Source organism: Homo sapiens, chromosome 6, assembly GCF_000001405.40.
Source record: "Homo sapiens chromosome 6, GRCh38.p14 Primary Assembly".
NCBI classification, from domain to species: domain Eukaryota; kingdom Metazoa; phylum Chordata; class Mammalia; order Primates; family Hominidae; genus Homo; species Homo sapiens.
The window spans coordinates 162,462,827-162,482,848 of record NC_000006.12 but is presented as its reverse complement, the minus strand read 5'-3'; the positions used below and the strand labels follow the sequence as shown (position 1 = coordinate 162,482,848).

Below are 20,022 nucleotides of genomic sequence, written 5' to 3'. Positions count from 1 at the left end.
ACGTTGGAAGGTAGATTGGACAAGATGATCTCTAAGGATCCTTCCATTAGTAAGCCACACAGATTTTGTGATTTAAAGAGCCTATGCATCTCATTTTAGAGTTGGGTTTTGGAGTAGATATTTATTCTTGCTTGCTTTCTTTTCTCTGCTTTCATTTATCCATTTTACATAGTATACTTGGTTCATGTATTTTTCTTTCGTTGTTTTTAATATGAAGGCTTTAAAAAATTATGGATAACCAATCAACATTAGATGTCACAAATAGTTACTTTTGATTCCAATATTGTGAATATTTCTGTTGCCATTATTGCTGGTTTTGTTTGTTTACGTAGCTTAACCCCTGATGCACTCTCAGTCACACAGTTTTATGAAGATGTAGACTCATGTGTTTTGACATATACATAACTCGTCAGAATAGGTTTCCTGGGTAACCTTGGAGGTTCTTGTATGCCTTCAACTGGAATTTCTTCAAGTGCACTTGCTTGTGTAAAAGATGTATTTATGTGATGATGTATTGGTTGGAATACTGCACAAAGTTAGTTTTTTGAGTAGCAGCTGAACATAAAATAAAAAGTTGTGAAAGTATGAAAAGCCACAGTGTTTTAAATATTTTTGTAGTAAAGTCAGTGCCCTGTATCAAGCATGGAGATCATTGAAAAGGATCTTTAAGGAGCCTGGCTTTTTGGACATAACCTAATTATCCCAGGAGATAAGGTTATCACACCACTTTTCATTATCTGAGTAAACATAGTTATTCTGGGCAGTGAGTGTTGCCATGGGTTTCTATAACTAGAAGTTTAAGCATGCTGGAAGGTAAGACCCAAAGAAGAAAAGGGGCAAAAGCAAATAGGAGTCCACCATGAGACACCAAGCCCCCCAGATTACTCCTTTGGTATTTTTTTCAGTTTGAAATAAATGTTATAATAATTTCAGTCTGAGGATTTTATGTGTGCTAATAAATCTGAATATTTCCAGAAATAATAGGAAAAGCTTATGTTGGCCCATATAAAGGACACAAACACACGCATGTATTTCTTGTTTTGACAGAACATGGTAACTGGATTCATGTTTAATTTATAGTTCTTTGACTTTTAAGGTAGTGCTCTGTCATCAGCCGTCATTTGAAAAAAAAATATTTTAGTTAATCAATGGTATGATCTAAAATGGCTTAGGACTAATAGATTAGTGGAGCTGCACTCTTCATTTTATGAAAAAATGTTTCTGGCACTAATGGCACGCAGCAGCAAATAATGTTCCCTTTTGCATCCCAGTGAGATGCCAAATATCATGCTGGTTAATTTTAATACAAAATGCTCAACTCTTAAGAGATAGCATCTGCCTGCCCTTGAATTTCCACTTAATGGAAACATTATACGTTAACAAAAAAACTGCTTTTTTTTCCCCCACCAGTAGTGGTAGAATCTTAGAAAGTGAGTTAACTTTAAGAGAAACCTTAAAATGTATCAGCAACCAGTTTCAGAATAATTAGCTAATAGTATTTACAGATTTTGAAGAGACTTAAGTTTACCTCTCCATGGACATGAGGATTCTGCAGATAAGAATTTGTGGTCTCGTTATAATTTGGTATCCTGTTTGCTATTATAAATCTGAAGCTGGCTAGATCAATAGGGAATGGGTTATTTTTGAAAGCTTCACTTTTCCATATAGCTGACTACTTAATTCTTTATATGAGAACATTAATTCTAGTAGAATGAAAATCAGTTTAGGCCAGGCGCAGTGGCTCATGCCTGTAATCCCAGCACTTTGAGAGGCTGAGGTAGGCAGATCACTTGAGGTCAGGAGTTTGGGACAAGCTGGCCAACATGGCAAAACTCTGTCTTTACTAAAAATACACACACACACACACACACAAAAATTAGCTGGGCTTGGTGGTGCACACCTGTAGTGCCAGGTACTCAGGAGGCTGAGGCGGGAGAATCACTTGAACCCAGGAGGCGGAGGGTGCAGTGAGGTGAGATCGTGCCACTGCGCTCCAGGCTGGGTGACAGAGCAAGACTCTGTCTTAAAAAAAAAGAGAATCAGTTAAAATACACTGTCTCCTTCCATACTATCTAACAAAAGGGTAATGATTGGGTTTGACTTCTTCTTTATGACTTGGTGGCCTCATCATTTATGGGTTTTGGTTTTTATGATTTGCTAGAGTCAGGGAAGCCCTTGAAGATGGGGTGGGCAGTGTCCTAGGCTGTTTTTCCCCTCGCTAACACAGCAGCAGTCCCCGTCCGCTGGTCTCTGGTGGGCTTCACCAGCAGCACTCGGTCCTCCTGGTCATTGTTTGGGTGACTGCTTTTCAGTCATGTCAACTGGCAAATCCATGGCACAAAGAAGGAGTCTTTTTCCCATGTAAGTTTTTCTCCTTCAGAAATAGTTTCTACTTACTTCCATGTCATCTTCTTCCTCTCCTCCCTATTTTTGGTCGTCAGTAATTGTCCGTATCATTCAAATACAGTAAAAAAATGTATACAGCCATGTGCCCCATGACATTTCAGTTAGTGACAGACCACATCTGCAAGGGTGGTCCCATAAGATTGTCATGGAGCTGAAAAGCTCCTATAGCCTAGTGATGTCTTCGCCATGGTAACATCCTAGTACAATGCGTTCCTCGTGTGCGTGGTGACCCTGGGGTCAATGAGCCTACTACGATACCAATTGTGTAAAAGTCCAGCACATACAATTATGTATAGTACGTGATTAGAAAAATGACCATATTACTGGTTTGTGTATTTATAGTTATTTTATAGAACTTATACTATTTTTTTTTTTTTTGAGACAAAATCTTGCTCTCTCACCCAGGCTGGAGTGCAGTGGCACAATCTTGGCCCACTGCAACCTCCACCTCCCGGGTTTAAGCGATTGTCCTGCCTCAGCCTCCCAAGTAGCTGAGATTACAGGCATGCGCCACCACGCCCAGCGAATTTTTGTATTTTCAGTAGAGACGAGGTTTCACTATGTTGGCCAGGATGGTCTCAATCTCTTGACCTCGTGATCTGCCTGCCTCGACCTCCCAAAGTGCTGGATTACAGGCGTGAGCCACTGCGCCTGGCTCCTACTAATTATTTTTGAGAAAAAAAAACAGATAACTGTAAAACAGCCTCAGGCAGGTCCTTCAGCAGGTGTCCAAAAGAAGGCATTGTGATCACAGGAGATGACAGCTCTATGTTTGTTATTGTCCCTGAAGACCCTCCAGTGGGACCAGATGTGAGTGGAGGTGGGAGACAGTGATATTGATGATCTTGACCCTCTCTAAGCCCAGGCTACTGTGTGTTTATGTCTTGCTTTTTAACAAAAATGTTTTAAAGATAGGCCAGGCATGGTGGCTCAAGCCTGTTATCCCAGCAGTTTGGGAGGCTTAGGTGGGCAAATCACCTGAGATACGGAGTTCAAGACCAGCCTGGCCAACATGGTGAAACCCCATCTCTACTAAAAATACAAAAAAAATTAGCTGGGGATGTTGGCATGCGCCTGTAATCCCAGCTACTCAGGAGACTGAGGCAGGAGAATCTCCTGAACCTGGGATACAGAGGTTTCAGTGAGCCAAGATCACACCACCGCACTCCAACCCGGGCAACAGAGCATGACACCGTCTCAAAAAAAAAGAAAAAAGTTTTAAAGGTTGTTTTTTTTTTTAAGGTGGAAAACAGCATATAGAGTAAGGATATGAAGAAGGAATACTTTTGTGTAGCTGTGCAATACATTTGTGTGTTAAACCGGTATTATTAAAAGAGTCAAAAAGTTAAAAAGTTTATAAAGTAAAAAAAGTTACAGTAAGCTAAAGTTAATTTATCACAGAGGAAAGGAAATGTTTTTTTCTAACTTTAGCGTAGCCTGAGTGTGCAGTGTTGGTGAAGTCTGTGGTAATGGACAGTCATGTCCTAGGTCTTCCCATTCACTCGCCACTCGCTCCCTGATCACCCAGAGCAACTTCCAGTTCTGCAAACTCCATGTTTCCTAGACGAGTGTCCCATTTTTTACCTTTTATACTGTGTTTTTACTTTACTTTTTTGTGTTTATATATACAAATGTTTCTTGTTGTGTTACAGTTGCCTAAGGCATTCAGTAAACATGTTGTGCCGGTTTGTAGCCAAGAGCAGCAGGCTGCCCCATAGAGCCTAGGTGTGGAGTCGCCTGTACCATCTGGGTTTATGTAAGTCCCTTCCGTGGTGTTCCCAAAACAAAATCCCCTAACAACGCAATTCTTAAAATGTGTCCTCGTTGTTCAGTGACCCATGACTGTACTTATCTCTTGGTTTCACGGTTGGTTACTCAGGAGGTCACAGACACCTGCTTATTAGAATGCTCTTGCTCTTCTCTCTGTCTCTCCAAGCCTAGATTGTTCACTGGCTGTGCAGGAGAGAGAGGCTCCTCACCATTGCAAGCTCTGTGTTAGATGTTTTGTGAAGGGTTTAGTTCAAGGTCTTCCTGTGCGTTTAATGAACAGACATGTGACTTCTGTGGACTTGTTGTTCTCCCTAGTGTTTAAGCGGAGTTTCAGCCACAACAACATTAGAAATCACGTCTTTGATGTTTACAGCCAGAGTCACTTTCAACAGTGATAACTGTACTTACTCTTTGAAGAACTCTGAGCCGCAGCCTGAATCAGGGAGGTTATATACTAGGCCAGAAAGAGAATATCCAATTACAGGTCAGTATGAAACCTCTTTTCTCAGAGTAAGCTCTACAGTTGTTCATAAAATTAAACAAATACATGTGAATGTCTCCTATATGGGAGACTGTGGTAGGTACTAGGGGAAGAAGATCTCACCGTGGATAACCATGTTCGCCCTGTGCTCTAGGACTCTGCGCTCTAGGACCCTGTGCTCTAGGACCCTGCGCTTTAGGACCCTGCACTCTGGGACTCTGCACTGTACTGAGAAAAACAGTTGCAGAAGCCGGGAAACAGGATGAGGCTGACAAACAGTAAAGGATCCTAGTGTTGCCAAACAACAGCAAGAGATAGAGCAGGATTTGTAAGACGGGTATAATTTGAATGGACCTTCCACAAGGTTAGCTTCCTGAATAGTTAGAGATGCTGTAGGGGAAAGGTTATCCCAGAGAACATGCAGTTATGCAGGAGAATATGAAGCATGACCTAGAAACAAGCTCCCTGTGGCTGGTGTTTGTGAAGTAGGAGAGGCCGCAGCAGAGAGGAGGAGGATGAGAAAAGAGTGGATACTGAAAGGGGAAAGTATAGCAAGAAATAGGTGGAAAAAGGGAATCGTAAAGGACTGTGAACACCTGAAGACTTTGCATCTTGTTCTCAATGAAGGGAGTCACCAAAGATGGTTTTGAATGAAAGGACTGGCAAAATGACCCTGTGTAGCAACTGCATAACTCGACTCTTATAAAGCCAGTAGTTCTGGACATATTCTGTTGATATAAGAGGAGTATAGATGCTGTCAAAAATGCCAATGGAAACTCGTGCATCAGTGTGTAAGTCCCACGCGTGGAAGTTCTAGGAGGTAACATTCATCAGCGAATTTATTTTTTGACTGCCTGTAGTATCACTGTGAGCAAGAACAGCTGGCCTATACCTGCTTTATTTGAAACCTGAGAGATGATAATTTCCTGGTACCTACCAGGATAGAAGTTGGTGGGCAATGATGAAACACCTTTGAGCATTGTAAAAATTTTAAGATAGATTGTGTGATTTCAGGAAAATAGACACCAAAATTTTCTCTGGTGTATATTCTGGCTTTATTTCAATTTCATTTTTCTTAACTCCCTCAAAGAGTCAAGTGTATTTGCTCAAAAACTGACCTCTTCATTGAGCACAATACTGGAAGTAGAGTAACCATCCAGCTTCAGTCAGAGTTGCTGCACTTCAGGTCCCAGGCTAGACTTCAGCTTAGGCAAGAGTCAGAGTTTTACAGCCAGACACCACAGGCAGGATTTCAGAACCAGTTGGCCTTACTCCTCAGCTCCTCCATTTATTGCTGTATATTCTGGGGCCAATTAAAGACTCTCTCTCCCTTCCCTTTGCTTATGTACACGATGAGGAGAACTCTAGGTGTTCAGGCTTCTTGTGGGTGGTTAACAATTCGAAAGCACCTGGCATGCACCTCCACATGAATGATGACGATAGAATCGTAATTATTATTATCAGTGTTACTCTTGTGGCTGGGGTATCACGTTTGCTGATCTTCTCTTGTTCATGAGGTTGAACCAGGCAAGACCGAGCTTGCACATCATTCTGACCCATTGGGCTTCCCTGTGCTCGTCCTTTCCTCATGCTGTGCTGCCTGTTTTCTTTTCCACAGTTATCATTACCTATTGTTTATTTCTGCCCCTTTGTTTCACTTAAGAAAGCCTATACAAACGGGATTGAGAAGATTTACTAAACTTTTGTATGAATTTACACAGTTTATGAGTCTGCAGCATGACTGTTTACCACTTTAAAGAAATCTTGAGACTAAAAATTTTACATATACACAGTTGTGAACCCTACCCTCAAAAAGAGTGGGCTGGGCGCGGTGGCTCACACCTGTAATCCCAGCACTTTGGGAGGCCGAGGCGGGTGGATCACCTGAGGTCGGGAGTTTGAGATCAGCCTGACCAACATGGAGAAACCCCGTATCTACTAAAAATACATAAATAAATAAATAAAAATAAGTAGGGCGTGGTGGCACATGCCTGTAATCCCAGCTACTCGGGAGGCTGAGGCAGGAGAATCGTTTGAAACCGAGAGGCGGAGGTTGCAGTGAGCTGAGATCGTGCCATTGCACTCCAACCTGGGAAACAAGAGTGAAACTCCGTCTCAAAAAAAAAAAAAAAAAGAGTGGTGTTAGGCCAGGTGCGGTGGCTCACGCCTGTAATCCCAGCACTTTGGGAGGCCAAGGCAGGCGGCTCACGAGGTGAGAACAAGACCATCCTGTCCAACATGGTGAAACCCTGTCTCTACTAAAAATACAAAAATTAGCTGGGCATGGTGGTGTGCGCCTGTAATCCCAGCTACTTGGGAGGCTGAGGCAGGAGAATCACTTGAGCCCGGGAGGCGGAGGTTGCAGTGAGCTGAGATTGCGCCACTGCAGTGAGCTGAGATTGCGACAAAGCGAGACTCCGTCTCAAAATACATAAATAGATAAATAGTGCTGTTTTGTACTTCCAGAGGCGTAAATAAATAAATAGTGGTGTTTTGTACTTCCGGAGGCATGACGCAGCTAGCCGCATTGCACACGCAGCCCTGTGCTTGTGTCTCTTGATTTGCACACGTACACTCACATGCACACTCATGCAAACACACACACACTCATGCACACACACACTCACATGCATACACATGCACACACATGCATACATGCATGTACCTGCGCGGTTCTTACGTCTCTATCTTCTCACTGCATTTTTTGTCTTCTCCAGTAACAACATGTCTGCTGTTTATTTGTTCCTCCTCCAAGTTTCTCTTTCTTTTCTCTTCCTCTGTTATTTCTCTCGTTCTTTCCAAGATTGGAACTATTAGGCTGGACTTGGAAGTGAAAATCCTTTTCTCTTGTGGCTTTTGGCCCACAACACTTGACGTTGAATAATTCTTAGATGTCCTTATACCCAATAAGCCCTCAATAAATAATGAATGGGTGCCTTAGCCTTGTTGACCAAGATCATTTGACTGTGCCTTTTCATAGGCTGTTTTTTGGTTAATAGTGAGAAGCATTTTGTTTTTTTGAATAATTTTTCTTGCCTGCTCTCAGGGCGTATAGACTGAAAGCTATTCATCACATAATCATTTTTAATATTGCTGATAAAAAGTGGCAAATTCTATGTGAAGCATATCAGAAGGTAAATATGATTCCTTGCCTTAAGTTTACTTATGTCTGGAGGGGAAAATAAACAATTCTCAGAAGAATTTTTATAATTAAAAAATCGATTTCATTTTGAATTTTATTTTGACATTTGTAGAAATAATGACAGTGTCAGCATGTTTTTGTCTCTTCATCTTTTTCCTTCATTCCTTTTGCTACATCGGACTTCTGGTATCAGGCCTGCCTATACCCCAAAGCCTAGGTCCAGACCAGCACAGGAAATAGGCTATTTTCAGTAGCCTTATCTCTGCTTTGGTTTCTGATCACTTGATATTCAGAGTCTCTTATCTACAGATCACAAGATCATCATCTCCCATCGAAACCTGTTCAAAGAATCTAGCAAATCTTTGAATCTTGTAATATGGCCTTCCAAGTAAATTGTTTTATGTTTGCCCTTAAAGTTTTCTTTGAACATAGCTGTTATTAATACTACTTTCAACATTTACATTTAATAGAATATTTTTAAACATGGGATTTATTGGCAATAATTTTAATACCTTTTACAACAACTTTCCTGTGATTTCCTGGGAAACCATAAATTTATACTGTAGGCTTGAATAGATCCATTTTTAACAATTGACATGGGATTTGGTGGGTTTATGCTAAAAATTAAGTAACCTAACAAAGAAGTATAGTGATTTCTAAAAAAAAGCATTCAAATATATTTTCACAATTTAGTCATTCAACATGTGCAGGAGAGAATTAAATACATGTAGATTACTCTTCCTGACAGATTCTAGAAGTTGGGTATTTGCAATGTCCCAGTTGTATTATTGGAAAAGAAGTAAGATGTATTATGCTGGCGTATCTTCCCTTTGTCGTTCTTAACATTAGTTTAACGTGGATATTCTGCCTATGGTACTATGTTATGTAAATATTTCTGTACTTTGTTCTCTCAGATAATAAGTCATTTGATTAATATTGTTCCAGCTTCATATAAGTGGCAAAGGGCGTTTCTGTTACTAGTAAAACAAATCAGCTATCCTGGAATCACCCACATTACCTTTAATTACATTCTAATTAAATTTAAATTTGCTTTATTATGGTAATGGATGTTGCACCGGAAAGCTGGTGGGAAATCAGTTATTTTTACCCCATCATTGTAAAAGAAAGGCTAACCTACATCTATAATTATGGTGACATTTTTAATAGATGAATTCATATTTGATGTTTCAAGAGTAAAGAGTCTAGGTAATCTAGTAGTCTGAGAGTGCAAACTGTGCTCTTTCCACACTTGCCATCAGTTTATGGTTTTCAGCTTGGTTCTAGAATTGTCTGCCAATATAGTAGCCGTTAGCCACATATGGACAGTCCCAACTGAGTTGTGCTGTAATTACAAAACATACACCCAATTTCAAAAACTTGGTACAAAAAAAGAATGACCACTATCTTATTAATACCTCCTATATTGATTATTTGTTGAAATCATAATATTTTGCATCTACATAAAATATTAAAATTATATCTGCATATTTTTACTTTTTTATCATGGCCACCAGAAAATTTAAAATTTTATATGTGGCCCACATCGGTGGCTTTACTAGTCCTTCTATTGGGCAGCACTGTTCTAGAAACTATGTTATAATAGGGAGCTTGATGTTGGCAAACATAGGGAAATGCATTTGGACAAAACTGATTCAAAGTGTGTTCACCAGATCACACAACTTAGTGTCATTAAGTCCTCTTCTCTGAAGCCAGTAGTTTTTCCTAATGCCTTTACCTAAAATACCAGTGAAGAAGGAGACATCATTTGTTTGCAAACAGAAATAAAACTACTTTCCCATCTTTGCTTCACATCATGGTGCTTCCATACTTGAAATATCCAGTTGTGGTAAGCATCCTAGCAAAGGGAAAGGCTTAAAATGACTTCAGAGTAGATAACATGACCAAGGCATTAGTATTTTATGAGGATACACTTGTACAAGTTAGGACTTCCTGGGTTGGAAAAAATAAAATTAAGCAACTATGAAGGGGAGAGAATAGGTTTAACCATGTTTTCTTTGAAGGACCTGAGTAGGAAAGACTGATATAAAAATAAGTATGAGAATATTTTCCTTAATTGAATAACCATGGCCAAGTCACCAAATTCCAAAACACCACAACTATAGGTTTCTGGAGTAGCTGGCTATAATTTTCAGGCCACACACACATTTCCAGTATGTTGAATTCTACCTTGTTCTGAACAGCTTCGGAAATATTTGTTCAACTTCTACTAAGATATATATATATAAAATAAAAGTTTGGGGCCGGGCGCGGTGGCTCACACCTGTAATCCCAGCACTTTGGGAGGCCAAGGCGGGTGGATCATGAGGTCAGGAGATCGAGACCATCCTGGCTAACAAGGTGAAACCCCGTCTCTACTAAAAATACAAAAAAAAAATTAGCCGGGCGTGGTGGCGGGCGCCTGTAGTCCCAGCTACTCGGGAGGCTGAGGCAGGAGAATGGCGTGAACCCGGGAAGCGGAGCTTGCAGTGAGCCGAGATTGCGCCACTGCAGTCCGCAGTCTGGCCTGGGCGACAGAGCGAGACTCCGTCTCAAAAAATAAAATAAAATAAAATAAAATAAAATAAAATAAAAGTTAGAGTTTGGACTGCATGTTCTCACTCATAGGTGGGAATTGAACAATGAGAACACTTGGACACAGAGTGGGGAACATCACACCTGTCTTGGGGTGGGGGGTGGGGGGAGGGGTAGCATTAGGAGATATACCTAATGTAAATGATGAGTTAATGGGGGCAGCACACCCACATGGCACATGTATACATATGTAACAAACCTGCATGTTGTGCCCATGTACCCTAGAACTTAAAGTATATAAAAAAAAAGTTTGAGTTTGGAATGTCTTCCTCTATAATGTGGCAGAGGTTAAAGTTACAAACAAGTTTTAGGTGTATTTAGATCAATAAGGATTCATTAAGTGTATCTTCCTAGAGTTTTCCTGTTATTATGTAGTCATTCCATCCACAAAGCGTTCCCCAGTGTCATTGACTTGATGTGCATCAATCAATCTGACTGAATGTCAGGAAAGTATTTATTCTCAATGTTCTTATGGACCAGGTGCCCAGCAAGGATGCTTATTAAGTGTCATATGATGATTGCACTGTTAGATCTTCTTCAATCGGAGGACAGACCAAAAAGATGGCTGCAATTCCAATTAGGGGACTTTAAAAATCAATTCCAAAAAGACTAGTGTTCTAATAATTTTAGTACTAGAATAAAATGAAAAGCTACAAAAGTACTACCAGATTTGGGATAACATATGTCTAAATCTGTATTAGTACATATGCATAGATTATTCTGTGAAAGTAACAGAAGTAGATACATCCTTTAGTTTTTGCACTTCTGTATAATTTATGAATTCTAATAATGAACACTTATAATGTTTACTGTGGAAAGTTTTAATGTGTAAAAACTCAGAAAACATATCTAATAGTTTAGTAAATGGCAAAATATATTTTATTAATAATTGCAGTATAAGCAATTAATTGTAAATTGTTTTGCAGTGGTGAGGAGTGGAAGCCACAGGTTAGAAAGGAAAGGAGAACATATAGCGGGAATAAAGGCAAAAGGTCTACTGCAGTTATTGTAACAAATGGCTCTATCTATGATAACTTCCAGCTTAAAAATAAAGTGTGGAGGCGAGGTACAGTGGCTCACGCCTGTAATCCCAGCACTTTGGAAGGCTGAGGCAGGTGAATCACCTGAGGTCAGGAGTTCGAGACCAGCCTGGCCAACATGGTGAAAACCCATCTCTACTAAAAATACAAAAATTAGCCGGGAGCGGTGGCAGGTGACTGTAATCCCAGCTACTCAGGAGGCTGAGGCAGGAGAATCGCTTGAACCCGGGAGGTGGATGTTGCGGTGAGCCAAGATTGTGCCACTGCACTCCAGCCTGGGTGACAAGCAAAACTCTGTCAATAAATAAATAAATAAATAAAAATGAAAATAAATAAATAAATAAAAAATAGAGTGTGGGCTGGGCGTGGTGGGTCATGCCTGTAATCCCAGCACTTTGGGTAGCCGAGGCTGGCCGATCACCTAAGGTCAGGAGTTTGAGACCATTCTGGCCAACATGGTGAAACCGCCCCACCCCATCTCTACTAAAAATACAGAAATTAGGCATGGTGGCGCACACCTGTAATACCAGTTACTCAGGAGACTGAGGCAGGAGAATGACTTGAAACTGGGAGCTGGAGTTTGCAGTGAGCCGAGATTGCACCACTGCATTCCAGCCTGGGCCACAGAATGAGACTCCATCTCAAAAAAACAAATAAATAAAATTTAAAAATAAATAAACAAAATTAAAGTGTGAATGCCTCAGGTGTAGCTTTGCCTCAAACTAGCACCAAGTATCCTCTCAAACCCAAAGATTGGTGTTTTATGCTTGTGTTTCATTTTGTCCCAAACCATCTAGAATGTATGCTTCACAAGCATACTTTTTTTTGAGACAGAGTTTCGCAGTGTTGCCTAGGCTGGAGTGCAGTAATGCAATCTTGGCTCACTGCAACCTCCGCCTCCCGGGTTCAAGCGATTCTCCTGCCTCAGCTTCCCAAGTAGCGCCTGCCACCACGCCTGGCTAATTGTTGTACTAGTAGTGGAGGCGGGGTTTCACTGTGTTGGCCAGGCTGGTCTTGAACTCCTGACCTCGTGATCTGCCTGCCTCAGCCTCCCAAAATGCTGGGATTACTTTGCCTAAGTTAGCTGCTGTGTCCACGGTGCCTAAAACAGCGCCTAGCCATAGCAAGCATTGGTTGAGTGAATGAAAATGTATACTTCCTTATTTTTTAGTTCCCTTTTCATTATATCATAAAATGTCAAGGACATAGGGTCTAGAAATCTGCTGTCTATGCAGCGTTTAAGTCCTGAGTCTGATGTCTTTGTCCAGAGGATGTCCCAGTGGCCGTGGGAGACCTGTCATTGATAGAGAGCTGACTTCCTCACGAGATGCTTCACTTTCGCAGGACAGCACTGATAGTCAGGCCTTTTTATGGTGAATCAAAATCTGTCCTCATGTAGTTTCCTAGTCCTGTGCCCTAGGATCGTGTAAAACAGGTTTACTATTTCTTCTGCATACCTGCTCTTTGAATACTTATGGACAGTTAGCTCCCTCCTTCTCTACCATTCACCCACACTTTCTTTTTTTAAATTTTTTATTTCCATAGGTTTTTGGGGAACAGGTGATATTTGGCTACATGTGTAAGTTCTTTAGTAGCGATTTGTGAGATTTTGGTGAACCCATCATCCAAGCAGTATACACTGAACCCAATTTGTAGTCTTTTATCCCTCACCCCCTTCCCATCCTTTCCTGTTGAGTCCCCAGAGTCCACTGTGTCATTCTTAGGCCTTTGCATCTTCATGGCTTAGCTCCCACTTATGAGTGAGAACATACGATATTTGGTTTGCCATTCCTGAGTTACTTCACTTAGAAGAATCATCTCCATTCCCATCCAGGTTGCTGCAAATGCCATTAATTCATTCCTTTTAATGGCTGAGTAGTATGTGTATGTGTGTGTGTGTGTGTGTGTATACACACACACACACATACCACAGTTTCTTGATCCACTCATTGATTGATGGGCATTTGGGCTGGTTCCGCATTTTTGCAACCTGGAACTGTGCTGCTATAAACATGCATCTGCAAGTACCTTTTTGTAGAATGACTTCCTCTGTCACCCACCCCCCCCTGCAACCCCCCCACTTTCTTAACATTCCACAAATTCTTCATTAGTGTCAGTGTTTTAGCAACACCATTGGCTGTTGCAGCAAGGATCCTCGTGTCCATCTCGACCGCCTCCTCTGAACTTTTCTTATAGTGTGGTGCGTGCCTTCAAACACAGTAGTCTTAAGTGTGGTCTGAGCACAGGCTGATTACTTCCTTGTAAATACACCAGAAGGTGAAACTAGTTTCTGTGATCACTATATCACAATAGATTTTTATAGAGTACTGTAAATTAAAATCCCTAAGGAATGTTTATGAGTGGATACATTCCATATTTCCCCCATTTTGTAAATATGTAGTTGGTATTTTGGATTCATTGGTAGGACCTCATATCTGCACTAAATTTAATTTAAAGAATTCATTCCAGCCTTTGAGATACCTATCATCTCTTGGATCCTGATTTATTATTTCTTCTGTTTTTTCCCCTAAAATTCTCATATGATTTTGATAGAAGTACATTCTGTATATATCCATCCAATATATTAATTTAAAAATAATGTCAATGGTACAGGGCAGAGATCTGAAATGTTTTACGGGAAGACTTATGCACCCTTCTAGGTAAGAGACCACACTTAATTATTTTATTACTCTAGCCTCAAGCTCAGTACTTGGCTGGCCGGAGCTGCTCAAGAAATATTTGCTGCATTGAAAGAGCTGTTGAACATGCTTAAGCTGTCTTCATCTAACCACTCTCTAGTACCAAACCCATCAGCTGGGCTACCATCCAATCTGCATTCCTGCATGTTAAAGACAAGATATAATGAGAAACTTTGCCAAATGCCTTGGTGAAATGTGTGTGTCCTATATTTATGGGATTACCGAACAGTTTAGAAATGATATCCTCTGTTCTGTGCTTGCAAGCCAAATTGCCATATGCTCTTTCCAGCACTGGACAGACACTGAGTAAATGTCAATCAAATGAATTCATTTTTCTCTCAGTCCAGTTATTATATGCAAATATTAATGAACAAAGATCTTTCTGGGTGCCACTCAGGATACAATAAAAGATTTCAGTTTTCTCATTCACTTCAACATTTGTAGCATGTCTCTTCTGTGCCAGGCATTCTAATTAGTGAGACGAGGGATGCCACCCAAGTGAGGGAGAATGTTCTATTTATTGATTCGGTTGTTATATATGGAGCAATTTCCATGTTCCACGTATTTTATTAGTCCCTGTGAATATACAGAGGCAAAGTCCCTGTCCTGTCGGGGCTTACATTTAACAAAGAGTAAGTTAACAAAGTGGTGATAAGAACCACGGTAGCAGTAAACAAGGTGATGAGAGAGTAGTTAGGGAGGCTGCTTAATTAGGGTGGTCACAGGAAGACCTGTGCAGCTGGCATTTGAGATACTCTCTAGAGGCTGTGAATGAGTCATGGAAAGATAGGAGGCAAGAGTGCTCCAGGCAAAGGGAACAACAAGTACCAAGGTGTAAAATCCAGCAAGGGGTTGGCTTCTTCCAGACACAGCATAGCGGGAGCTCGGTGGGCGGCGTAGCGGGAGCGTGACAGGGGGTTGAGGCTGGAGGACAAGTGGGAGCCAGGCCGTGCAGCCCTGTAGGCTGCAGTAAGGAGTGTAGATTTTATCCTGTGAACAATAGAAGGCCATTGAGGCCTTTAAAGTAGGAAGTGACGTGAGTTTTTTCTTGTGTCAAGGGATTCCTCTGACTGCCTTTGGGAGTCCTGTTCTGAGAGTATTGCTCTGATTCAAAAGACAGATAATGGTCACGACAATGCAGATGGAGAGAGGTAGAGAAATCTAATAAATATTTTGGAGATAGAACCAAAGGCTCAATGATAGGGATAAAGGGATACACTGATGACGATCGCTAAATTTTTATCATGAGCTATTCATTCATGGTGCTGTTTCCTCATTCAGTGGAGGCTGGATGAGGAGCGGGTGGAGTGGGGGCAGTCACTGATGTTAAGTAATTTAGGAGAGCGCATGATAAGTGCTTGAATGAATACCTCCCATACTTCATCCATGTGGTATACTACACATTCATTCTTATTTATTGAGCAGCTAGTATGTGCCAGACATTGGGGATAGAGTAGTGAACAAAACGAATAAATCTTGATTTTCATGATGAATTGTGTTTGATATTGATGAAAGCTGTGGAGAAAAAGGAAGAAGGGAAAAAGGTTAGGGTGTGCCGAGTGAAAGGATTGATTACGTGTGATTTTTAAACAGCACTGTTGAGAGGCCTTCCATAAGAAGTCAACATTTTAGCAAAGACTCATAATACTAATAAATAAACGTAATAATAGAATCCAGGGAATCATAATAGTTGGGCTCAGTGTATTTTTCCTAACCAGATTTGTTAATTTTTTCGACCTATTTTTCTTTTAGAAGTTGGGGATAAAACTGGGAGATGACTTACCAGCTGCTTATTTATTGAAACGAGGTAACCAGTGTATATAATATATCCATAAACGTGCTCTTAGTTACCTTACTTAGCAGTGATGAATTACCCAAATCCACCTAGCCTTTAATAAATGGGTAGTGATTAAAAGAAAAAAAAAAGGAAAACAAAGAGCATAGTGGTATCTGTTTTATTCTTCAGTAGAAACAGATGCAACAATGGCACATTAAAAAAAAAGCAAAAGTGAAATGGATGTGGTGGCTCATGCCTGTAATTCCAGCACTTTGGGAGACCGATGCAGGAGGATCCTTTGAGCACAGGCATATGAGACCAGCCTGGGCAACATAGTGAGACTCCTGTCTCTAAAAAAAAAACAAGAATAAAAAAAATTGCCCTGTGTAGTGGCACATGCCTATTGTCCTGCTTACTCTTGAGGGTGAGGTGGGAGGATTACTTGAGCCTGGGAGGTCAAGGCTGCAGTGAGCCATGATGGCAACACTGCACTTCAGCCTGGGTGACAGAGCGATACCCTGCCCCACCTCCCTCCAAAAACAAGACTTGTCAGCATCTATTCAAAGTTAATAATATAATGCCTGGGAATAGATTAATATTAAATGTTAGCACACAAAGCCTATTCTGCAAATGATTGCTTCTGCCTCCTGAAGACAAGGCCAAGTACATTTCACTCCATAACACAGGTTGTAAGGAAAAAAAGAAAGGCAATGGAAAGTGTTATTTTCTTGAAGTAATTTATCACAGCTATTGCCTCCTCAATACATGCATAAACTTCCACATCATCAAAAAAGGTAGTAGCTGTTTCTGCAATCAATCCAGAAATAATAAGCTGGGCATGTTTCTTTATTAACTTCTGTTATAAACATAAAAATATATATCTGCAAGTATGTCAAGGAAAGAAAAATATTGGTGGTTCTGATATTTTCTTTCAACACTTTGTTATTTGGAGTTGTCGTCTTAAGAAATAACATGATAAAATATTGATATACAAAAATACATTAAGATATATTAGTCACCATATATTCAAGGATTGCAGATAGCATGAGAGTGTGAGATGTTCTTGAGATAACTTTGTTAAATTCTTAAATATCACAATATACCCTCCTGAATTTAATTTTAGAACATTTACAGGGGCAACTGAAACCTATCAAAGAATTTAGCCAGGATTATATAATTATCATATAATATATTTTCTAAATGTCCATGTCACTGTGTGTAGATCAAATCAGCATTCAGTTTCTTCCCTGCCATTGTCACTTGACATTATTTCTATAATTAAACTAACATTAACACTTCCTATTCTTTCTTGAAATTGCTAAAGAAATTACATTTGGCTAAGTAATACCTCCAGAAAAGAATTATTTTGCATTTTGATGTCTTTGGAACAGCTAGATCATTTGTTTAATCTGCTTCTTCTGACATCCTATTAGAATTTCATTTCTTTGATCAACATTTTCACTGACACTATTTATGTCTAACATGAAAACACCACAGTATATTGCAGCTTGAAAAATAGTGTTCTCTCTATTAAGTGTTGTGCATCTCTCATAAGAAGAGAAAATTTGGTAAAGCTGAAAGTTTATTCTGTAGGTGGCCACAAACTGAGGTTCTAAAATTGAAGGAAAATAAAGGGTAATATTATAAACAGCAACAAAAGTCAGATGTTAAATATAGTGGTGTAATATAAGAACTAGTTGAGAGATAAGCTAACCGCCTTCCTAGAGTTGCATGCAAGCTTGGACAGAGTTGATTTCACCACTTCACTGGTTTTTCTTTAAAATGTTCATAGAAGTGATGCTTGGTAAGACTGGTTAATTGGGAACGAGCTTAAATGTTGACATGATTGTTGAAGTTTTCATAAGCTCAGGGAGTTTTAGGTAAACATTCTGTCTGCTGGGTGAGGTGTTGCAGAATAGGGATATGTTACATAGATGCTTGCCCTGAGCACATCACAGCCATGAGATCGCCATGGCTGTTGATTTTCTTAAAGTGTTTTTAGTGGAGGAGCAAATGCATTAATATTTATTAAGAAGGAGGAGGGGGGGCTCTTAAAACTTGTATTTATACACAAATTTCTTTCTTTTTCTTTTTTTCTTCTTCTTTTTTTTTTGAGACGGAATCTCACTCTGTTGCCCAGGCTGGAGTGCAGTGGCGCGATCTCGGCTCACTGCAAGCTCCGCCTTCTGGGTTCACGCCATTCTCCTGCCTCAGCCTCCTGAATAGCTGGGACTACAGGCGCCCGCCACCACGCCTGGCTAATTTTTTTTTTTTTTTTTTTTGTATTTTTAGTAGAGATGGGTTATCACTGTGTTAGCCAGGATGGTCTTGATCTCCTGACCTCGTGATCCACACGCCTCGGCCTCCCAAAGTGCTAGGATTACAGGCATGAGCCACTGCGCCCGGCCATTTGTAGACAAATTTCTAATGAAATAGAATGTGACTTTGAAAGTTTGCTCCATTACATATTAGTGCTATATTTTAGGAAAACTTTAGAATTTTTAAAATCAAAGTTCAATTTTTCCTTAAGAAAATAAAAGTTATCATAAATGATTAAAACCTTAGAAAAGTGAATGAAATCTTTATCACTTAATTACAGGGCAGTGGCAAAGTTCATTTATTTAATTTTCATATGTTGACATCTATTTTTGTGTAATAGCAGATCCCTGATTCCCATTTATAGAGATATAGTCAATTTTGATTAAAGAAAGACCTAAGTGTAAAAAAAATAGTAATCGCCTTTTAATCAGCATCTGCAAATTTAAGTGAAAAAGTAAACAATGATTGATTTCTTCTAAGCTGGCATATAAGGCATCAAGAATTGTTAGAATTTTTTGTTGAAAGTACTTGTTATGTATAAGCATTTACAAAGCTTAAACGTCACCTCATGATCTCATCTCAAAAAAAGGTCAGGGCAGTCTTTGATTAAAATAAAATAAAGACTGGTATTTTGATTTCAGTTTAAGCTTTATTTTTATCTTTAAAATGTGCTTATTAAGTCCCCAAAAACAACAACAAAATAACAGCTTCAGAGAGTAAGAATGTAATGCCTAAGTCAAGGAAATGATAGACAGTGTCAGGAACTGTGAAGTATCTGAGACTTTATCCCTCTTGCAGGCTGCTCACAGTTTCATGGATGCCAATCTTGAACTCGAGATGCCTTTGTGAGAAATCATATACAGTCACTCAGCTGGTGCCCAATCTAATTAACAGCACACACTTGTGAACCAAACATTGGCCCCAAGACATGAGATTCCTGGGTCAGGGAGCTGGATAGTTTATTACTTGCCCCATAGCAGTAGTCACATTGTCAACATCTCCAGGCCCCAGTTTCCACAGGGCAATGTGAAGTGACACCTGCACACACAGCAGGATGTGTTAAAAGGAGAGGAACCCGGAGCTCAGGGAACCCGAATCTTTTATGACAGACAGGAAGCACTTCTGCCCTTTGATCCAGAGGAAGACACTACCTTTGTCTTATAAGGATGCTTCCTATACAAACCCCCTTGGAAAGCTAGTCCAGCATAGAGGTAGTGAGGTAAGATTGCAGAAGGCCGGAGACCCATGGAGAATAATCTCCTAACAGAAAGATTTGGGTTTTGTTTCTTATTAGACAGTGTTAATGTTACAGTGATTCCATGCAAAACTTTGTGCTTGGAATAATCTTGAGTATAATTGTGGTTGTATTTCCATGGTAAGTAATCATTTGCAATAGGTTAGGAACATTCTCATCATTTAATAACAGAGGAAACTACAAGGAGAGTTAAATGATTTAATACAAACTCAAGCAGACCCTTTGTATCAAAGCAAGTACTAACATGCTCAAAGATGACGTGGTTTTTTTTTCGTTTTTAATTTTTAATTGTTTTTTTTGAGACGGAGTCTCACTCCGTCACCCAGGTGGGAGTGCAATGGTGCGATCTCAGCTCACTGCAACCTCCCGCCTCAGCCTCCCAAGTAGCTGGGCTTTCAGTCGCCCACTACCACACCCAGCTAAGTTTTGTATTTTTAGTAGAGATGGGATGTTGCCATGTTGCCCAGGCTGGTCTCGAACTCCTGACCTCAGGTGATGCACCCACCTCGGCCTCCAAAACTATTAGGATTACAGACGTGAG

At 40.1% G+C, this 20,022-nt stretch overlaps 1 protein-coding gene across 6 annotated transcripts in view, besides 1 other annotated feature; it reads left to right on the top strand.

Moving 5' to 3' along the window:
* Positions 1-20,022, top strand: part of PRKN (parkin RBR E3 ubiquitin protein ligase) — a 1,380,350-nt gene that overhangs the window by 244,918 nt on the left and 1,115,410 nt on the right. The window contains exon 1 of one of the 6 annotated variants that reach the window (XM_017010908.2): positions 3,605-4,660. The exons of the other annotated variants lie outside the window; for them this stretch is intronic. Coding sequence (XP_016866397.1) covers positions 4,540-4,660 — 121 coding nt within the window. The 5' untranslated portion in view covers positions 3,605-4,539. Of the gene's footprint in view, positions 1-3,604; positions 4,661-20,022 lie in introns of those variants that run through there. 6 annotated transcript variants of the gene reach the window in all.
* Positions 15,093-15,594: an enhancer, noted in NCBI's record as "H3K4me1 hESC enhancer chr6:162888287-162888788 (GRCh37/hg19 assembly coordinates)". NCBI's record gives its function as "activates a minimal SCP1, AML or CMV promoter by ChIP-STARR-seq in primed H9 embryonic stem cells {active_cell/tissue: H9 hESC(primed)}" and the evidence as "EXISTENCE:reporter gene assay evidence [ECO:0000049][PMID:30033119]".